This window comes from Homo sapiens, chromosome 1 (genome assembly GCF_000001405.40).
Source record: "Homo sapiens chromosome 1, GRCh38.p14 Primary Assembly".
NCBI lineage: Eukaryota > Metazoa > Chordata > Mammalia > Primates > Hominidae > Homo > Homo sapiens.
The window spans coordinates 11,505,972-11,526,594 of record NC_000001.11 but is presented as its reverse complement, the minus strand read 5'-3'; the positions used below and the strand labels follow the sequence as shown (position 1 = coordinate 11,526,594).

Here is a 20,623-nt window from a genome sequence, read left to right as displayed (position 1 = left end):
GGGCCAGCCTCAGGCTCCGTCCCCTCCCTCCTCGGCATAGTTCACCCTGTCCCAGTCCTCGGAGTTGGGGACAGAGCCCTGGGCAGAGGCTTGGGAGGCCTGGGTTTGAGTTCAGCACTTGGGCAAATCCCTTCCTCCCTCTCTGAGCCTTGTTTCTTCCTTCAACAATCATTCACTGAGTGTCTGTCCCATGCCAGGCACTGTGCCAGGCTCTGAGGGGCACGGTCCCTGACCTCTTGGAGCTGGCAATGATGATGGCTTCCAAGAATAAGGAAGACAAGACAGGATAAATGGCAGGGAGAGGAGGGCAAGGCGAGAAAGGCGCCGGGGCAGGGCTCTGTGGGGACCAACAGGCATGTTGAGACCTGAACGAGCACCTAGGAGTCAGCCACGCACGAAGCTGAAGGAAAAGCTTTTCAGGCAGTGGGAACTGCACATGCGAGGCTTAGAGGCAGGAAAAGCCTCAGAGACCTCATCTTCCAAATGGAAATATAAATCCTGAACAAATGAATTGGCGCGTGTCCCTGTCACCATGGAGGGTGTGTACCACGTTAAAGAAACACAAATGAGCCTGGGCTACACAGAGAGACCCTGTCTCTACAAAAAATAAAAGATAAAATTAGCTGGCATGGTGGTGTGTGCCTGTGGTCACAGCTACTCAGGAGGCTGATGAGAGAGGATCGCTTGAGCCCAGGAGGTCGAGGCTGCAGTGAGCTATGATCATGCCACTGCACTCCAGCCTGGGTGACAGAGCAAGCCCCTGTCCTCCCCCCACCCCCAAGAAAAAGAAAAGAAACACAAATGACTCCCATGAAGGGGAAAACTCAAGTCTGGGCTCGGGGACTCCTTTCTGCAGCGCTGGAGCAGCTACCAAGGACAGCAAGATTCCTGGCCGCCACTGCCTGAGGAGGGACTGCACCCAGGCGTTCTGCACGGCACAGGCCTCACCTCACACCCCTCCAACAATGCTGGCTGGTGCTTGTTGCATCCCCATGTCACAGATGAGGAAACTGAGGCTCAGAGAGTAAGTAATCTGCCTAAAGACACACAGTTAATAAATGGCAGAGCCAGGATTTGAATCCAGGCCTGGCTGACTCAGAAGCCCACGCTGCTACCACTCGGCAGGTCCCTGTCACAGACATGGCTGGTTTAGGGGAGGGGGGTCTTCATCCTCAAAGCTGCTTCTCCCTCCCTATTGGCCAGGGCTGCCCACCAGTGTGGCCCTGAGAGCCCCCCACCACCCACAGTGGTGGCGGCTCACTTCACGACAGCCCAGGCTCACCTGGAAGGAGGGCACCTCTCCATCCCCAGGCGACACAGCCTGCCAAGGAGCAGGCAGGCTGGCATTGAGGGAGAGCCTGTAGACAGCGGGGTGGCCTTGACTCTTCACTTTAGAGATGTACACGGTGCCTGGGAAATCTACGGACAAATAAGGGATGAAAGAGGGGTGGACTTGACCTCGACTGGCTTCTCCTGACCCTGGAGCAGCCCACCCTCAGCTCTGTCGACTAACGAGCTCAGTCCTGGCCTTGGGCTCATCTCAAAATGCTGGCTGTGCCCCTCTCTACTGGACCAGGTCCATGGCAATAATAGTGGGGGAGGTGGTGGGCACAGGATGGGGTGGCAGGGATGGTGGGGGAGGTGGTGAGGGAGATAGTGGGCACAGAGATGGGGTGGCAGGGATGGTGGGGGAGATAGTGGGCACGGGGATGGGGTGGCAGAGATGGTGGGGGAGATAGGCACAGGGATGGGGTGGCAGGGATGATGGGGGAGATGGTAGGCACAGGGATGGGGTGGCAGGGATGATGGGGGAGATGGTAGGCACAGGGATGGGGTGGCAGGGATGGTGGGGGAGATGGTAGGCACAGGGATGGGGTGGCAGGGATGGTGGGGGAGGTGGTAGTCACTGGGATGGGGTGGCAGGGATGGTGGGCACAGGGATGGGGTAGGAGGGATGGTGGGGGAGGTCGTGGGCACTGGATGGGGTGGTAGGGATGGTGGGGGAGGTGGTAGTCACTGGGATGGGGTGGACTAGATAGCGGAGGTGACAGTGATGGAGGGCATCCTGCTGAAAATGTGCTAGTGTTGGTACAGGGCTGGTGCTGGGAGTGACAGTAGTAGGAGAGAGGTGGCAACAGTGCCATAGGGTGACAGGGACAGACACAGCTGCCTGATGGGGCATTCATTCCCCCAGTACACTTGACCCAGCACCCACCTCTGAGGGAGACTCCAGCAGGGACAAGCCAGTGTTCAGGGCCCAGGATGCCCACCTCTGCCCCTGGACACTCAGGGTGGCTTTGGTGCACAGGGAGGCTCTGGGGGCACCACAGACCAGGGTGTCGCGGGAGCCTACTGTCCTGGCGGGATGGGAGGTGAGGGCCCCAAATTCACCCCCCATCCCCAGCTCCTCTGCAGTGACCAGGAACACACAATCTCCTTCTTGAAGGAGAATCCAGAAGGAATTTTATCTGCTCTCCTTACAGGGCCTTCAACCCTAGCACCAGGGAGGATTTCCCCACCCTCCACCCCCAGTGCTCACCCTGCAGGGTGGCCTCAGGCCGGCTAGCCCAGGGGACCCCTGAGCCTCGCCTCTTCTTCTCCAGGGACGTCCGGATGTTGTTCTGCAGGCTGTGGGGCTTCTCCTGGAACAGACCTGCCCCCCAGCGCCATGTCAAGGACAGCAGGACAGCAGGACATCCTGGCCTGGGCCCGATGGGCAGAGGGAAGAGGCTGGGATCTGAGACAGTCTCAGGAACTGGGGCCCAGGGACTGGAGGGGGTGGGTGTCAGGGGTCAGAAAGAAACTAGAAAGAACTTTTAAAAAATCAAATACCAAATTTATAGGAATTTTAGGCCCAGAGAAAGGCACCATCAGCCTGCCCAGAGAAAAACACTGAAACGCTCCCTGCTCGCCCTCTCTGTGCCACTCTGCCCCCTGCTTGCTGTCTCTGTGCCACTCTGCCCCCTGCTCGCCGTCTCTGTGCCACTCTGCCCCCTGCTTGCCATCTCTGTGCCACTCTGCCCCCTGCTCGCCCTCTCTGTGCCACTCTGCCCCCTGCTCGCCCTCTCTGTGCCACTCTGCCCCCTGCTTGCTGTCTCTGTGCCACTCTGCCCCCGCTTGCCCTCTCTGTGCCACTCTGCCCCCGTGCTCACCCTCTCTGTGCCACTCTGCCGCCTCTGTCGGGTGGAGATGATGCCACACTTCCCTCGGGGGTGGGACATCACATCCTCTGCATCCAATTAACAGGAGTGACTGTTAGAGTGACCCAAGGTCATCAGCTGGCAGACATGGTGGGAGACATATATTCCTGTTTTGCCTCAAGCGTTGTGTGTTAGCCCTTCCTTTGGGTTTTTTAAATTAGAAATGAGAGAACTACACCTTCAAAGTTTTAATCCTCACAGCCATCCTGAGGCTGTTCCCATGAACCCCACTTGATGGAGTGGAAAGCAGAGGTGAAAGGACCTGCCCAGGGAGGGACTTGCAGCCCCGCTGGGTTCTGGCCTCGCCTGCCCTTTGTAAAGCCGAAGCACTCTGCTGTACTCTGAAGGGGTCCCTCCAAGAGGCAGTTCCCAGAGGAAGAGGCACAGGGAGTAGGGGCTGGGCTCTGGCTGGGCTCCGGCTGGGTCCTGGCTGGGTCCTGGTTGGGCTCTGGCTGGGTCCTGGCTGGGTCCTTGCTGGGTCCTGGCTGGGCTCTGGCTGGGTCCTGGCTGGGCTCTGGCTGGGCTCTGGCTGGGTCCTGGCTGGGCTCTGGCTGGGTCCTGGCTGGGCTCTGGCTGGGTCCTGGCTGGGTCCTGGCTGGGCTCTGGCTGGGCCCTGGCTGGGTCCTGGCTGGGTCCTGGCTGGGTCCTGGCTGGGCCCTGGCTGGGCCCTGGCTGGGCCCTGGCTGGGTCCTGGCTGGGCCCTGGCTGGGCTCTGGCTGGGTCCTGGCTGGGCTCTGGCTGGGCCCTGGCTGGGCTCTGGCTGGGCTCTGGCTGGGTCCTGGCTGGGCTCTGGCTGGGTCCTGGCTGGGTCTTGGCTGGGTCCTGGCTGGGCTCTGGCTGGGTCCTGGCTGGGCTCTGGCTGGGTCCTGGCCCCAGATGTTGTCAGGGAGCTTCGGGGTTTGTCCATCTGTGGGCAGGAGGCCTGTGGCGGCGGTGATGATGGGGAGCAATGCCACATCCTGGCAGTGGGGTAGAGGAGCTGGGGACGTGGCCAGGGCTGGCTCCGAAGTGTGAGGGGCTCTTCTGGTGCCTCTCGGAGCTGCAGTGGATTATCACGCATTTGGCTGCCATTACCAAGGGGAAGGCCAGGTTGATCTCAGCACCGCCCTAATTAAATAAAGGTAATGACAGCACCAGCAGATCTGCTCCTGTGAGCTGGAAGCACTCACCCAGGCGTCTTCTCATTTGGTTTCTAACTGCCCTGGCAAAGTCAGATGACCTTGGGTTGACTTCGCCTGCTCCCCCTCTGTAAAATGCGGCCTGGGCCAGCTACCTCAAAATCAAGGAGCCATCTCTGTCTTCCCTCCTGGCTCATTCCCGACTCCCACTCCGTCACCAAGTCCTATGGAAACCACCTCCTAAAAACCTCTTGACTCCACCATCGCTGCCATCAGCATGCTGGTCCCAGCACCACCAGCTCTCAGCCTCCCAGCTAGCTTCCACCCCAGTGCCCTAGTCCACCTCCACACAGCACCTGGGAGACTCCCTCACCCCGCTTCTCCACTTAAACCACGTGACTAGCTTCCAGTGACAATCAGAATAAAATCCAGACCCCTCACTTCAGCCCATCTGCCCTATCCCAGTCCACTGGGCCAGACTTAGTTCCTGCAGCTGCCTCTCTCAAATGTGGCATTGGTCTTTCCCACCTCTGGTGCTCTCCTCTGCCTAGACTCCTGCCTCCTCTCCCCTCCCAGCCTGGTTAACCTCTCCTCTTCTCTCCTCTCCCCTCCCAGCCTGGCTAACCCCTTCCCTCCTCTCCCCTCCCAGCCTGGCTAACCCCACCCCTTCCCTCTCTCCCCTCCTCAACTGGCTAACTCCTCCTCTTCCCTCCTCTCCCCTCCCCGCCTGGTTAACCTCTCCTCTTCTCTCCTCTCCCCTCCCAGCCTGGCTAACCCCACCCTTTCCCTCCTCTCCCCTCCTCACCTGGCTAACTCCTCCTTTTCCCTCCTCTCCCCTCCCAGCCTGGCTAACCCCTTCCCTCCTCTCCCCTCCCAGCCTGGCTAACCCCACCCCTTCTCTCCTCTCCCCTCCTCACCTGGCTAACCCCTCCTCTTCCCTCCTTTCTCCTCCCAGCCTGGTTAACCCCACCCCTTCCCTCCTTTCCCCTCCCCACCTGGTTGACCCCTCTTCTTTCCTCCTCTCCCCTCCCAGCCTGGCTAACTCCTCCCAATTCTTGTGAGTTGTGGCCTAGACGTTACTTCCTCCAGGAAGCCTTCCATGACGTGGGCCTCTAAGACACCCTATTCTTCCTCCGCCAAAGCTCAGATCTACTATTACAGTGACCGGGCCCTAGAGCTGGAATGTGAACTCCCTGAGCTTGGGAAGCCTATGCCTCCCGCCCACAGTACCTCCCCAGAGCCAGCACCCAGCAGGCACCCAGCAGGCATCTGTTGAATGAACTGTGGGAACATGGGGGCTCAGAGGGGAGTGGGATTTGCCTGAGGTCTGGCATTGATGGGGACCCTGGATCCTGCATCTCTCAGACCAACAGTCTTTGGGACCCGGACACCTGAGCGGGCCAGGGACAGCCTGGCTAGAAGCCTCACCTGAACAGGTGATGCAGGAGATGCCCTCGGCGCTCAGGTTGTACTTGAGGTCCAGCAGCACCTGGATGTTGGTATCAGGCCGGAAGAGTAGCGGGGCCCGGCTGGCGGGGCGGAGCCGGCTGGCGAACACCAGGGACAAGATGAGGATGGAGACGAACAGCCCTGTGAGGAAAGGGCGCTACACCAGGCGGGGCTGGGCCCAGCTGGTCTGTTCCCAGTGGGGCTCCAAAGTGCCGGGAGACAACTGCTCTGGTTGTTGGGGGGCGGGTGTCCTAAGGGTGCGGGGGAAGGCCCTGCATGCCAGCCCGTGGGCAAAGCTTGCTGGGGATGGTCCTACAGGGCCAGGGATCAGTTGCTTTGTGGTGTCCCATGGGGTTTGACTATAAGCTATAATCTAATACTCCTGGACAAGAGGCGGCCACCACCTCAGAGCACCTCATAGTTTATGACGAGCTGGTGCACTACTTGATCTCACACAACTCTGAAATAGTGTCGAAGATGACAATGATAATAGCACTTGACATTCACTGAGCACTTACCGCACGCCACGCGCTGGGCTGAGGTCTTTATACATACTCTCCACTGACAGCTGCCTTCCTAGCCACCGTTCTCATCCTCAATTACAGAATAGGAACTGAGTGCTAAACGGACTGGAATAGCCAAATTCACACAGCTAGGACGCGGCCAAACTGGGACTCAGACTCAAGTGGGTCTAACTCCAGGGCCCATGTGTGGCATGCTCTGTGCTACTGCCCAGTGTGAGTGGCTGGCACACAGCAGGGGCCAATGAGTAACAGCCGCCATGACCGGCTTCATTCTGCACAGGAAAGAGGGGGGGTCAGAGAGGGAGAGACCCCAGCCCAGGCCTCTGACCCTGGGGCATCTGCGAGAGGGGGTGGGCTCCCAGTTCCTGTGTGTTTTGGGGGTGGAGCTGTGAGACAGGGGGCAGGGCCGGAGGGCCCACTTACCCACAATCACCCAGCGGCTCTTGACGGCTGACCACAGGACCCAGTGGTGCAGCAGCTCCTGCAGCTGCACGATGAGATGGCCGCGGCTGCCCGTGTTGGAGGCTGGCTGCAGACCCTCGGGGGACACAGACACCAGGGACACGTCTCCCAGCTCCAGTGACACTGCCAGGGCAGAGCAGTGGCCCGTCAGAGCCTGAATCAAAGCCCACTGTGGTCCACGCTCGCTTCCAGGGAAGCCCAGATGCCTGGTGAGGAAGCCCACAGGCCATCTTGTCCGGCCCCCAGCCTCAGGACCAACTTGTCAAGTGTTACTCCCCTGGCAGAGGCAGCGCTGGGTCTCACTGGGGTCAGTAGGGCAGGCCTGTGCCAGCTCTCACCTGGCTCTTCCTCGACCTCCAGCAAGGGGATGTCATCATCCAGGTAGGGTATGGGGCCCTGGGCAGGGCTGCCTCCAACCTGCTCGGGAGCGGCAAACACGTCTCCGGGGAAGTGCAGGGAGGTCTTCCGGCTGCAATTCTGGTGGCAGCTGTGGAGAGAGTAGGGGACAGGGGTGAACCAGAGGGTCCTGGGTACCCAGGGAGGGTGGGGCAGGGCCCTGAGGATCAGATGAACCCAGGTATCACAGTGCTGCTGACGTCACACACAGGATGAGCACCCCAGACTTCTGGGAGCTGGTCACCTGGTTTCTTTCTAGTACCATCTACCCCAGGGCCCTCAGGTGCCAGTCTTCCTCCAGAGAGACAAATGGTGACAGCAAACATTACCCAGGAAGAGGGGATGACAACACACAGTGGCCCGGGCACTAAGGTGATCAAATCAGGGGACTCATTCCTCTGCTGCTGTGTGGCCCAGGGGCTCTGCCTCCAACTTAATACTCAGGGGAGCCAGGAGGAGGGAACAGGGCTGGGCTGAGGGTGTAGCTGCGTGGCCGAGGTCTCAGCTGGAGTGAACACATGAGAGACGCAGCTCAACCTAGGGACTGGGCACCAGAATAATCCTCACGGCTGATACGAGCGCTGTGTGTGTGGCTAATACCACTGCCACGTGCCAGCAGTGAGCTGGGAGCCCTGCGTGGATTATCTCACTTAATCCTCATGGGACTCACACACAGATGAACCCAGGTATCACAGTGCTGCTGACATCACAACCATTTCACAGAAAAGGAAACTGAGATGCAGAGGTGAAGTCACCTGTCCAGGGTTTCATGGCTGCCGAGGGAGGAGGCTGGGCTTGAAGCCCACATCTGACTGACTGGGAAGACGACTGTGCCCAATAGGACCACTGGGGAGACAGCCCCAGGCCGGGGGGCAGACGTGGGGCTTATTTTGCATCTCTGTAGAGATCAGAAAAGGCGCCCTTTCCCCATGACGCTGCTTCTATATCATGAAACTGTCACGGAAAACAGTCAAATCTGAGCACCCATGGTACACAGAGCAGTGCCTCCGCCGGGGCACCTGTGTGCAGTGCCAACCTGCACCACCACAGCGGGGTCCTGAAGGGTGAAGATGTGAGTGGGGAGAGCTGAGGAGTCCATCTCAGGCCCAAGTCTAAGCTCCTCGCTGGGCCCTTCTCTCCCTCCAGCCCCTCTGGGGCTCACCATGGGCGAGCGGACATTGTCATGGGTCCCTGAACACGACTGACCAAGGCCTTTATCACAATGAGTGGGCCCTGTTCCAAGCCCAGAGACCCTCCATCCTCCCAACCCCAGGCAGCCACCCAGGCCTGATTCAACTCCACCACCATCCACCTCCATCTTCCCAACCACCAGGCCCACAAGGTCTTTCCCCCTAAACCTCCAGCAGCAACTCTGAACTGACCCGTTCAACTCTGCACACGTCTCACTACATCTAAAGATGAGAACCTGAGGACACTTAACATGGTGGCTAAGAGCATGGGATCTGGAAGCAGAGTTCTTGGGTTTAAATCCAGGCTCTACTGCCTACTAAATAGGTGACCTTGAAAAAGCTGCCCAACCTCCCTGAGTCATTGTTTTCTATCTGTAAAATGGGCACAGCAAGAGAACCCAGCTCCCAGGGTTCTTTGGGAAGTGAATGGTGATGTCATAAGATCTTGGACACAAGTGCTTTGCTCACTTCCTGGTGACACTGGTGATCCCAAATTGCAGTTATTGGATGGAAGCATCTTCTCCTTCCCTGTTCCCTGCCTAGCAAAGGACTGGTCATACAGAAGGCTTTTGGAAGAGAGGTTGCTGCACTGAGTGGCTCATAGAGGCCTGTTGTGGATACCCTGCTGTGGGTGGAGGCCCTGCCCGACTTACCTGGTCTGGCAGGAGCTCTCCAGTGGTGCCAGGTAGAGGCTCCAGAGGCCCAGAGCTGCAGGCATGGTGACAAGCACGGCCAGCCAGCAACAGGACACGATGAGAGACATGAACAGGCCAAAGTCGTGGACGGCTGGGATCTGGTGATGGAAAGGAAGAGAGGGATGTGGGACAGGTTGGACCTGCAGTCAGGGGGCCTGGGTGCCCCCTGCAGCCAGAGACACTCAGGACCCCAGATCTGGCCCAGACTGAGGCAGTAGGAGGAGGCCCAGGCTGCCAGAATGCCAGGCACTAGCCTCACAGGACACCAGGAGCCAAGGGCTGGTGTCAGAGGACACAGCAGCACAGGAAGGGTCCCCACCTCAAGTGGAGGCTCTTGTCTATCTGCAGTCCACTGCCCAGAACAGTGCCTGGCACAGAGGCAGTGGTCAGTAGCTGTCATTACGCGAATGAATGGGGGACAGAGGAAGACACATCCCGCTAGACCAGGCCATGTGCTAGTGAGGGGGAGGGAGAGAATGCTGCCACATGACGGAGGCAGGGACCCTGGGGACTAGGAGCAATGGGTATGTTCCAGAAGTATGACAGGGACCACACAGGGAGGTGCTAGTTGGAAGGAAGCTGTAGCCACCAACAGAGCAGCCTACACTCTGTGAAACACTTTCACAATCATCCTCGCATCTCAGTCCCTGGATAATCCACACATGAGGAAAGCGAGGCTCAGAGAGGTCACACAGCCTGCCCAAGGTCACACTGCAGAAGCTGAACCCAGCTCTGCCTACCTTCTAGAAGTGATTCTCTAGAAGGACCTGGATAATCCTAAAGCATCTACTGGTTTCCAGAGGGGCTACTCAGCCCAGGTCGTAAAGTTTCTCAAAGACTTGGGCCAATTCACTGTCTTTCTGTACCAAGGACCCAGCCTGGGCTCAATGCCTTCTCCTAAGCCCCACTCAGAGGCAGCAAGAGGAAGTCAGCACAAGGGAGGAAAATGCAGCCAGAAGCAGGCAGAAGGGGAATCACTATGGACTTGGTCAGGCTTCTCACTTATCTGCTGTGTGATCCTGAGGAAGTCACTTTACCTCTCAGGGGCCAAGTTTCTTTTTTGGAAAATAGGATGGTAATTGTACCTTTGTCAATTACCGTGGTAATGAAGATTAAACGAGAAAGAGCTTTGGAAACTGCCAAATGTCCTCCAGGGTGGAGGCTGGATTACTACTACTGAGGATCCCTAATGCATGCTGTCTGGATTATTATAATATTCCCACTTGTTAAGTTTGGGTAATGGGTGATTCGTGACAAAAATGAACTCTAGAGCCAGGGCAAGTACCTTGAGGTGAAGGCTATATGGCCACTCAAGCGGTGGTGGGAAGGGCAGAGACCAGCGGCTAGGTATGCATGAGCGTGTGGGAGGCCAGGACAGGAATGGAGGACAGGTCCGCACCTGGGAGAAGACGTTAGCTGCGTAGGCGGCGGCTGTGGTCAGGGAGGTGAAGAAGGTGGCCTTGCCTGCAGTTTGGACGGTGTGGATCATGCGCAGCTGTGGGTCTTCCAGGTGGGTGGCCTGGCGGTAGGTGTTGATGAACACAAAGACATCGTCCACACCTGTGGGAGGGAGTCCCCAGCCAGGCTCAGGATTATTCTGCTGTCTCCAGGATTAGGCCCAACCTGGCCCTAGACCAAGTGTGAGTGGCCTCCTGGGAGGTCAGGCTGCAGGAGTCCTGCTTCTGAGCTTACAGTTTGGAGAGACCCCTCTGATTGGCTCCTCCCACCAAGAGTTCAAGCCCCACCCACCACACTCCTTGGCCCCAACCTCACCCAGAGCTAGGCGCCTTCCCCCACATCCTGACCTCCTTCCCACACTTCCTGGGCCTTTCCCACCATCCTCACCTCCATCCAGCAAACCTTCCTGCTCTCTCCACTCACCCTATGCCAAGGATCCGCCCACCACCCACATTCTAACCCTGCACTCCAAGGCTCTAGGCCTCAGCAGGCGCTGTGTAGAGCCCCCAGGGAAGCCAGGCTTTGTATCCAGGGAGAAAGGGGATGGGGCAGACTTCCCATGTGGGAGGCGCACTGCCATGACAACAGAGGCGACTCACCAATGCCCACGATCACGAAGGCGGCCACCCCATTCAGGATGCCCAAGTACTGGATACCAAAGACCACGTGGTACAGGAAGAGGGCCACCAGGCAGCTGAGACCAATGCTGGCAATCCCAAAGAAGGACAGGAACACTGGGCAGGGTAAGAGACACAGGGAGACGGTGGGGGGACCCTCATGGGACACAAACCCCACTAGAGTCCCTGACCTCAGCTGGGTCCTGTCTCTTCTCCCCAACCCTGGTCACCATTCACCACTCTGTTCCCAGCACAGGCACAGGGCCAATTCTGTTTTCCACACCCAAAAAGGGCACCGGGCAGGAGGCCCAAGTGGCAGACTGTCCTCCTCTTTGCAGACCTTACCTCAAGAGCCTTGTGAACATTACATATTACCTGGGGGTAGGAACTGTGTCTGGATCCCTGGCACCTTACAGCATCTGGCATATAGTTTGGTGCCCAGTAAATATCTGTTGTATGGACGAATGAATGTCTTTTCCATTTTGGAAAGTATTACCATTGTCTTGTCTGCTTGGGCAGTAGAGTGTGCCTACTGTATACAGACAGGAGTAAGCAGCAGCTAGTATCCAGGGGCACACGGAGGTGAAAAAGTGATCGGGGGGCAGATGGCAGTTGACTTGGGACTCCAAAATAGGCTACAAAGTAATCCACAAAGGAATACAATACCCCAGACTCCCCAGCACAAGGCTATCAATAGGAGAAAGATGGTCAACAGGCAAAAGGTCCAACTGTGCAGGGGCCCAGGGTAGAGGGTGTGACCCGGGCTGGTACAGCCCAACCTGCCTCCAGGCCTCAGTCTGCCTGTTTGGGGTTGGAAGATGATTTGTGTGCATATCCCTGTGTCCCCAGCTCTGACATGCTGGGCTCAAGAGTATTGCAGCATTCTTGAGAAGGCAGGCTCTGGGCAGACAGGAGCACCCTGGGAGGGGAGGAGGGGGCTGGCTTGAGAGAAGCCCTACCTGAGCAGGAGGTGAGGATGTAGACCAGGGCAGCAATGCAGCTGCTGCTGATGAAGGCCAGGAGCATGTCATTGTTGAACGTCCTGCGCACTTCATAGTCAAACAGGTCTGTCCCCCCATAGAGAACCTGGACTTTGCTGGGGGAAGGGAGGACGTGGAGAAAAGAATGACAGGAAGAGGATTAGAGATGGCTGTGAACATGTGAACATGTAGAGGAGTATCAGGAGCTGTCCACTTCACCTGTGACTCTACCTTGGTTGGATATCAAAATCACCTGGGGGCTTCCAATAATCCTGATGTCCAGGCCAGGCTCCAGACAAATTAGATCAGAACTGCTGGGGTGGGTCTGAATCATCAGTGCTCTTTAACTCTCTCAGGTGATTCAAATGTAGGGTCAAGGTTGAGAACCACTGCTCTACGCAGATTGTGATCAATTATAATCAGCTTCTATGTCATCTTCCAATTCTCCATATCTATGGCCAAGTTCTAAATTCAAACTGGCTGCTAGATATCCAGTTTTACACTGCTATTCAATGTGTCCTTAACACAAGTTATTTTTAATTAAAAAAAAAAAAAAACATAACCAGGCTGGTCAAACTGTGTCTTAAAATACAAACATAAGTGACATCTGCTTCTGGCCAAGATGGAGTAACAAGATGGAGTCCATATTTATCTTCTCACTGGAACTAACAAAAATGTATGAAACAAGGCAACCAAGGATGACGATCCCTGAGAGATGAGAAACAAAATGAGTCCTATGCTTATCCTGGCTTAGTGCTTTGAGAGTTTCCAGTCCTCAGTGCAGCCTAAAATATGAGATATTGGACTCCCCAAAGGAGGCTGAAAAATTTCCAAACTTGATGAAAACTATAAACCCACTGATACAGGAAGCTTCAGCAATGAAGCCCCAGCACAAAAAAACTGCAATGCACATCATAACCAAATTGCTCAAAAATAGTGACCAAAAGAAAATCTTAAAAAGCAGCCTGAGAAAAAGACACATAGGAACAAAGACAAGGCTGACAGCAGACTTCCCATTAAAAACAGGGTACGTGGGAAGGCAGGGGATCAACATCCTTTGCAGACAGTGGGGAAAACAGTCAGCCCAGGATTCTATACCCAGCAAAAATACATTTAAAAAACAAAGGCAAAATAGAAAACTTTTTTAGATAGACAAAAACTGAAATAATTCATATCCAGTATACTTGTACTAAAAGAGATTTTATTTATTTATTTATTTTTTGAGCCAGGGTCTCACTTTGTCACCCAGGCTTGACTGCAATGGCATGATCATAGCTCACTATGGCCTCTAACTCCTGGGCTCAAACAATCCTTCCACCTCAGCCTCCTGAGTAGCTAGACTACAGATGCATGCCACCATGCCTGGCCGATTTTTTTTATTTTTTAGTAGAGATGGTGATAGGCTTTGGCTGTGTCCCCACCCAAATCTCAACTTGACTTGTATCTCCCAGAATTCCCATGTGTTGTGGGAGGGACCCAGGGGGAGGTAATTGAATCATGGGGGCCGGTCTTTCCCGTGCTAGACTTATTCATGATAGTGAATAAGTCTCACGAGATCTGATGGGTTTATCTGGGGTTTCCGCTTTTGCTTTTTCCTCATTTTCTCCTGCCGTCCCCATGTAAGAAGTGCCTTTTGCCTCCTGCCATGATTCTGAGTCCTCCCCAGCCATGCGGAACTGTAAGTCTGATTAAACCTCTTTTTGTTCTCAGTTTCAGTTATGTCTTTATCAGCAGCATGAAAACGGACTAATACAGTAAATTGGTACCAGTAGAGTGGGGCTCTGCTGAAAAGATACCTGAAAATGTGGAAGCAACTTTGGAACTGGGTAACAGGCAGAGATTGGAACAGTTTGAAGGGCTCAAAAGAAGACAGGAAAATGTGGGAAAGTTTGGAACTTCCTAGAGACTTGTTGAATGGCTTTGTGCAAAATGCTGATAGTGATATGGACAATAAAATTCAGGCTGAGGTGGTCTCAGATGGAGATGAGGAATTTGTTGGGAACTGGAGCAAAGGTGACTCTTGTTATGTTTTAGCAAAGAGACTGGTGGCATTTTGCTACTGCCCTAGAGATCTGTGGAACTTTGAACTTGAGAGAGATGATTCAGGGTATCTGGCAGAAGAAATTTCTAAGCAGCAAAGCATTTGAGAGGTGACTTGGGTGCTGTTAAAGGCATTCAGTTTTATAAGGGAAGTAGAGCATAAAAGTTTGGAAAATTTGCAGCCTGACAATGCAATGGAAAAAAAAAACCCATTTTCTGGGGAGAAATTCAAGCCAGCTGCAGAAATTTGCATAAGTAGCAAGGAGCCTAATGTTAATCCCCAAGACCATGGGGATTAACATTCTCTGCAATGGAGAATTTCAGAGAATTTCATGGCAGCCCCTCCCATCAGAGGCCTGAAGGCCCAGGAGGAAGAATTGGTTTCATGGGTCAGGCCCAGGGTCCCCACGCTGTGTGCAGCCTAGGGACTTGGTGCCCTGTGTCCCAGCCGCTCCAGCTGTGGCTGAAATGGGTCAATGTACAGCTCAGGCTGTGGCTTCAGAGGGTGGAAGCCCCAAGCTTTGGCAGCTTCCACATGGTGTTGAGTCTGTGGATGCAAAGAAGTCAAGAATTGAGATTTGGGAACCTCCACCTACATTTCAGAAGATATATGGAAACGTCTGAATGCCCACACAAAAGTTTGCTGCAGGGGTGAAGCCCTGATGGAGAACCTCTGCTAGGGGAGTATGGAAGGGAAATGTGGGGTCAGAGTCCCCACACAGAGTCCCTACTGGGCCACTGCCTAGTGGAGCTGTGAGAAGAGGGTCATTGTCCTCCAGACTCCAGAATTGTAGATCCACTGACAGCTTGCACCATGTGCCTGGAAAAGCTGCAGACACTCAATGCCAGCCCATGAAAGCACCTAGGAAGGAGGCTGTACCCTGTAAAGCCACAGGGGCAAAGCTGCCCAAGACCATGGAAACCCACCTCTTGCATCCGTGTGACCTGGATGTGAGGATGTGAGACCTGGAGTCAATGGAGATGATTTTGGAGCTTTAAAATTTGACTGCCCTGCTGGATTTCAAACTTGCATGGGCCCTGTAACCCCTTTGTTTTGGCCAATTTCTCCCATTTGGAATGGTTGTATTTAACGAATACCAGTACCCCCATTGTATCTAGGAAGTAACTAGCTTGCTTCTGATTTTATAGGCTTATAGGCAGAAGGGACTTGCCTTGTCTCAGATGAGACTTTGGACTGTGGACTTTTGGGTTAATGCTGAAATGAGTTAAGACTTTGGAGGATGTTGGGAAGGCATGATTGGTTTTAAAATGTGAGGACATGAGAATTGGAGGGGCCAGGGTGGAATGATATGATTTGGCTGTGTCCTGACCTAAATCTCAACTTGAATTGCATCTCCCAGAATTCCCATGTGTTGTGGGAGGGACCCAAGAGGAGGTAATTGAATCATGGCGGCTGGTCTTTACCATGCTATTCTCATGGTAGTGAATAAGTCTCATGAGATATGATGGGTTTATCAGGTGTTTCTGCTTTTGCTTTTTCCTCATTTTCTCTTGCTGTCGCCATCTAAGAAGTGCCTTTTGCCTCCTGCCATGATTCTGAGTCCTCCCCAGCCATGTGGAACTGAAAGTCCAATTAAATCTCTTTTTTTTTCTCTCCGAGTTTCAGGTATGTCTTTATCAGCAGTGTGAAAAGGAACTAATACAGATGGGGTCTCATTATGTTGCCCAGGCTGGTCTTGAACTCCTGGCCTCAAGCAATCCTCCCACTTTGGCCTCCTAAAGTGGGATTACAGGTGTTAGCCACTGTGCTCGGCCTATAAGAGATGTTAAAGGAAGTCCTCAGGAAGAAGGAAAATGGTAACAGATGGAAATAGGGAAATATGGGTCTATACAAAAATGGTAATGACATAAATAAATACATACAATTTTCTTATTTATTTAAATCTCTTTAAAAGATAATTGACAGTTTAAACAAAAATAATGTAGGGTGGGGTTTATAATATACATTAAAATAAAATGCATAACCACAATAACATAAAGGCCAGGAGGGAAGAAATAGTAGTATATTATTGTAAAGCTCTTATACTACATATGAAATGATATACTATCATTTGAAGATACACTGTAATAATTTAAAGATGTATACTATAAACCCTAAAGCAACTACTAAAAGAGTTACAACATAAAAGCCAACAAAGGAGATAAAATAGAATCATAAAAAACATTCAATAGTTCAAAAGAGGCAAAATACAGGAAAGGGGAAACAAGAAGCATATGGGAGAAATAGAATAAAATATACTTAAGTCTAACCATATTAATAATTGCATTAACTGTAAATGGCTTAAAGACCCCAAGTAAAAGGCAGAAAGTATCAGAGACCTTTATTTATTTATTTATTTATTTTTTGAGACAGAGTCTCACTCTGTCACCCAGGCTGGAGTGCAGTGGCACGATCTCAGCTCACTGAAAGCTCCACCTCCCGGGTTCACGCCATTCTCCTCCCTCAGCCTCCCCAATAGCTTGGACTACAGGCACCCACCACCACGCCCAGCTAATTTTTTGTATTTTTTAGTAACATGGGTTTCACCATGTTAGCCATGTTGGTCTCGATTTCCTGACCTTGGGATCCACCTGCCTCGGCCTCCCAAAGTGCTAGGATTACAGGCGTGAGCCACCTGGAGACCTTTAAAAAAGTCAAGACCTAGCTGACTACAAGAAACCCACTTTAAATATAAGGACACGAATAGGATAAAAGCAAAGGGATAGAAAATGATATACCATGCTAACATGAACCAAAAAAGAAGCTGGATTGGTTATATTCATAAAAAATAAAGTAAATTTCAGAGGAAAGAATATAACTAGGGGCAAAGAAGATAATTTCAAAATGATCATCAAAACTACAATCCTAAATGTTTTTATAGCTAATAACAGAGTTTTAAAATACATGAAGTAAAAACTAACAGAACTGAAAAAAGAAATAGACAATGCCCCGATTGTAGATAGATATTTCAATATCTCTCTCTCTCAATATTGCTAGAAAAATTAGACAGAAAATCAGTAAGGATATAGAAGACCATGAACAACACAATCAATGAACTTGATCTAATTAAGACTTATAGAACATTTCATGCAAAAACAGAACTTTTTTTTTTCAAGTATACAGGGAACATTCAGCAAGAAAGACCACATACTGAACCATAAAACAAGACTCAATAAATTTAAAAGAACTTATATCACACAAAATATGTTCTCTAACCATCATGAAATTAAATTAAAAATTAGCAACAAAAAGCCTGAAAAATTCCCAAATATTCGAAAACTAAATAACACACTTTTAAGTTATACACGGGTCAAAGAAGAGATCAAAAGGAAAAATAGAAAGTATTTTGAACTGAATGAAAATGAAAACAACACATCAAAATTTTGAAATGTGCTAAAATAGTCATACTTAAGGGGAATTTTATAGCATTAAACACTTCTATTAGGAAAGAAAAGTTTCAAATCGATGGCCTTAGCTTCTACTTTAAGAAAGTAGTACAAGAGAAAATGAAATGTAGCATAAACCAAAGAAAGAAAATAATAAAGATCAGAGCAGAAATCAAGGAAATAGAAAACAGAAAAGCAATGGAGAAAATCATTGAAATGGGTAGCACAATAGGGTAACTACAGTCAATAATAAGTTAATTGTACATTTTAAAATAAGAGTGTAATTGGATTGTCTATAACTCAAAGGATAAATGCTTGAGGGGATGGAAAGCCCATTCCCCATTGATGTGCTTACCTCACATTGCAGGCCTCTATTGAAACATCTCATGTACCCCATAAATATATACACCTACTATGTGCTCATGAAAATTAAAAATAAAAATAAATAAATCTAATTCTTAAAAAAGAAAATCAATGAAACCAAAAGCTAGTTCTTTGACATCAATAAAACTGATAAGCTTCTAGCCAGACTGATCATGAAAAAAAAGAAGACACACGGAAGGTGACACCACTACAATTTCTACAAACATTAAAAAGATAATAGGGAAATATTATAAATTATTTTATACCAACAAATTTGACAATTCTTTTTTTTTTTTAAGAGACAGGGTCTTGCTCTGCCACCCAGGCTACAGTGCAGTAGCCCAATCATAGTTCACTGCAGCCTTGAACTCCTCAGCTCAAGGGATCCTCCAACCTCAGCCTCCAAAGTAGCAAGGACTACAGGCATGTGTCACCATGCCTGGCTAATTTTTGTGTGTTTTTACAGAGAGGGTCTTGCTGTTTCCCCGGCTGGTCTTAACCTCCTGGCCTCAAGGATCCTCCTGCCTCAGCCTTCCAAGTAGCTGGGATTATAGGCATGAACTACGGTACCCTGCTAGTGTTCACTGTCTTGATGGTGGTGAGGGTTTCCCAGTGTATACACACATGTCAAAACTAATCAAATTGTAAAGTATGTGAAGTTGGTTGTATGTCAACTATGCCTCAATAAAGTTGTTAAAAATGTAAACAGGACTTTAAAAAGCCAAGTTGAAAGGATCTCTGGATTATCTACTTTGTTGAATTAAATAGGTTAACTATCCTTTTGTTAGAGTAGAAAATCAATCATTTATTCATTCACACATTAATTTGAAAAGCATTTATAGAGTATCTTCTAGATTCTGGGTCCTGTACTAGATGCTGATTATAAAAAGACATAGGCCCATACTTTTACTCTCAAGTTGAAAGAAATAGCTCATGGAAGACCAGTATCCTTACCTAAAACTACTAAAATGTCTGCTAAAATTCAGAAACTATCTGTGATGACAGTAGAGAGCTGCTGAAGTAATCGAATTAGAGGGCTAAGACTCCAGAAAGGAAAGAACCTAGGAAAGGTAAGCTGCCCTTCTACAGCCATTTTTACCCTGGAGGCATTTGCTGATTCTAAACATGGGCAGAAGGCTGAAAAACTTGGCTGGGAGTCAGATAAGCTAGCAGAGCTTTGGGCAGACACTTGCAGATCAGCAGAACACATGGCCAGGTTTTCCCTCAGCACTTCTGCAGAAGTCTGGGGCTGTGTGGGGCCTGAAGCCAAAAAAACCTAAGCAGAAAGCCTCGGAAAAAGCAGAGTGGAATTTTTGTCTTTGTTGTGATTTTTTTTAGCAGCTTTTGAGAGATAAAAGATTAGAGTTTGGAACCTATCAGGGGAAAGGACTCTGTAGAATACACCAAGCTCTCAGTTGAAAATCCTAGAGAATCTAGGGCAAACTAGAGGTAGACTGAGACTTTCCAGGATTGCAAACCATCCTCAACTCTCAGTGTGGTCACTGCCCGTTTAAGGTAATCAGCCACGACTCTATGTGCCTTCTGAAGTGAAGGATAAATTTTCTCTGGAGGAAATAACATCGTCTGGACCTCTGTGTGTGTGTGTTTTTTTCACATAATGTTCATCACTGAATAAAAGTCACACTTTGAGAGGCCAAGGTGGGAGGACCACTTGAGGCCAGGAGTTTGAGACCAGTGTGGGCAACATAGTGAAACGCTGTCTCAAAACAAAAACAAAAACAAAAAACTAGCTGGGCATGGTGGCACATGCCTGTAGACCTAGCTACTCAGGAGGCTGAGATGGGAGGATTACCTGAGCCCAGGAGTTTCAGGCTGCAGTGAGCTATAACCATGCCACTGCACTTCAGCCTTAATGAGAGTGACACCTTGTCTCAAAAAGATAAAAATAAAAACATAAAAATTACCAGGTATACCCACAGGCAGGAACACAGGATCCCAAACCAAGTGAAAGAACAGACTACAGAAACAAATCTGCAGGTTATCCATATATTAAAAGTTGGTAAGAATTTTAAAACACTATAATTAATATGTTTAAGAACAGAGAGGAAAATGTGGACAAAATTAACTAAATGATGAATAAAATAATTGCACCAGTGATTTAGATCTATAAGAGATTCAAATGGAAATTCTCAAAAAGGAAAAACCGAACAATAACATTAAAACCTCAATAGACATTAAATGGCAGATTAGAGACAACAAATAGAAAGCAGGATCAGTGAATTAGAATATCTAAACCAAAGCATAGAAAAAAAAATAAAAAAATAAAACCCAGAAAAAAAGCATTGAAAACATATGGGGCTCAGTGAAAAGATCTAACATTTGTGTAATCAGAGTGCAAAAAAGAGGAAACAGAGACAAGATAGAAGCAAATCTGAAGAGATAATAGCTAGGACATTCTTAAAACTGATTATGGTCATCAACCTACAGCTTCAAGAAGCTCTGTGTCCCCAAACAGAACAAACACAAAGAAAACACACTAAGATACGTCACAGTAAGACTGGTGAAAACAAAGACAAAGAAATCTTAAAAGCAGAAAAAAGAGAATTTTTAATGGCACAACAAAAAAGATTTACAGCCTACTTTTCTACAGAAATGATGGAAGTCAGAAGACAATGGAGTGACATCTTCAGGTAAAGTATTAAAAGAAAATAAGTGCCAATTTATAATTCTATACCAGCAAAAATATGCTTCAAAAATGAAAGTAAAATAAAGATGTCTACTAG

The 20,623-nt window shown here is 50.5% G+C and overlaps 1 protein-coding gene across 10 annotated transcripts in view, besides 1 other annotated feature; it reads right to left on the bottom strand.

The window, feature by feature from the left end:
* DISP3 (dispatched RND transporter family member 3) overlaps nt 1-20,623 on the bottom strand; it is a 58,397-nt gene that overhangs the window by 10,957 nt on the left and 26,817 nt on the right. For 8 of the 10 annotated variants that reach the window (NM_020780.2, XM_047426135.1, XM_011541830.3 and 5 more), the window contains 9 exons: nt 12,069-12,205; nt 11,092-11,226; nt 10,434-10,594; nt 8,993-9,132; nt 7,092-7,240; nt 6,715-6,876; nt 5,747-5,908; nt 2,540-2,653; nt 1,283-1,419 (listed from right to left, as the gene is read on the bottom strand). In NM_020780.2, the coding sequence (NP_065831.1) occupies nt 1,283-1,419; nt 2,540-2,653; nt 5,747-5,908; nt 6,715-6,876; nt 7,092-7,240; nt 8,993-9,132; nt 10,434-10,594; nt 11,092-11,226; nt 12,069-12,205 (1,297 nt within the window). Of the gene's footprint in view, nt 1-1,282; nt 1,420-2,539; nt 2,654-3,152; nt 3,230-4,008; nt 4,308-5,746; nt 5,909-6,714; nt 6,877-7,091; nt 7,241-8,992; nt 9,133-10,433; nt 10,595-11,091; nt 11,227-12,068; nt 12,206-20,623 lie in introns of those variants that run through there. The other 2 variants (XM_047426138.1, XM_011541835.2) reach the window with 2 other exon arrangements.
* Nucleotides 10,730-11,357: an enhancer, noted in NCBI's record as "H3K27ac-H3K4me1 hESC enhancer chr1:11575295-11575922 (GRCh37/hg19 assembly coordinates)". NCBI's record gives its function as "activates a minimal SCP1, AML or CMV promoter by ChIP-STARR-seq in primed H9 embryonic stem cells {active_cell/tissue: H9 hESC(primed)}" and the evidence as "EXISTENCE:reporter gene assay evidence [ECO:0000049][PMID:30033119]".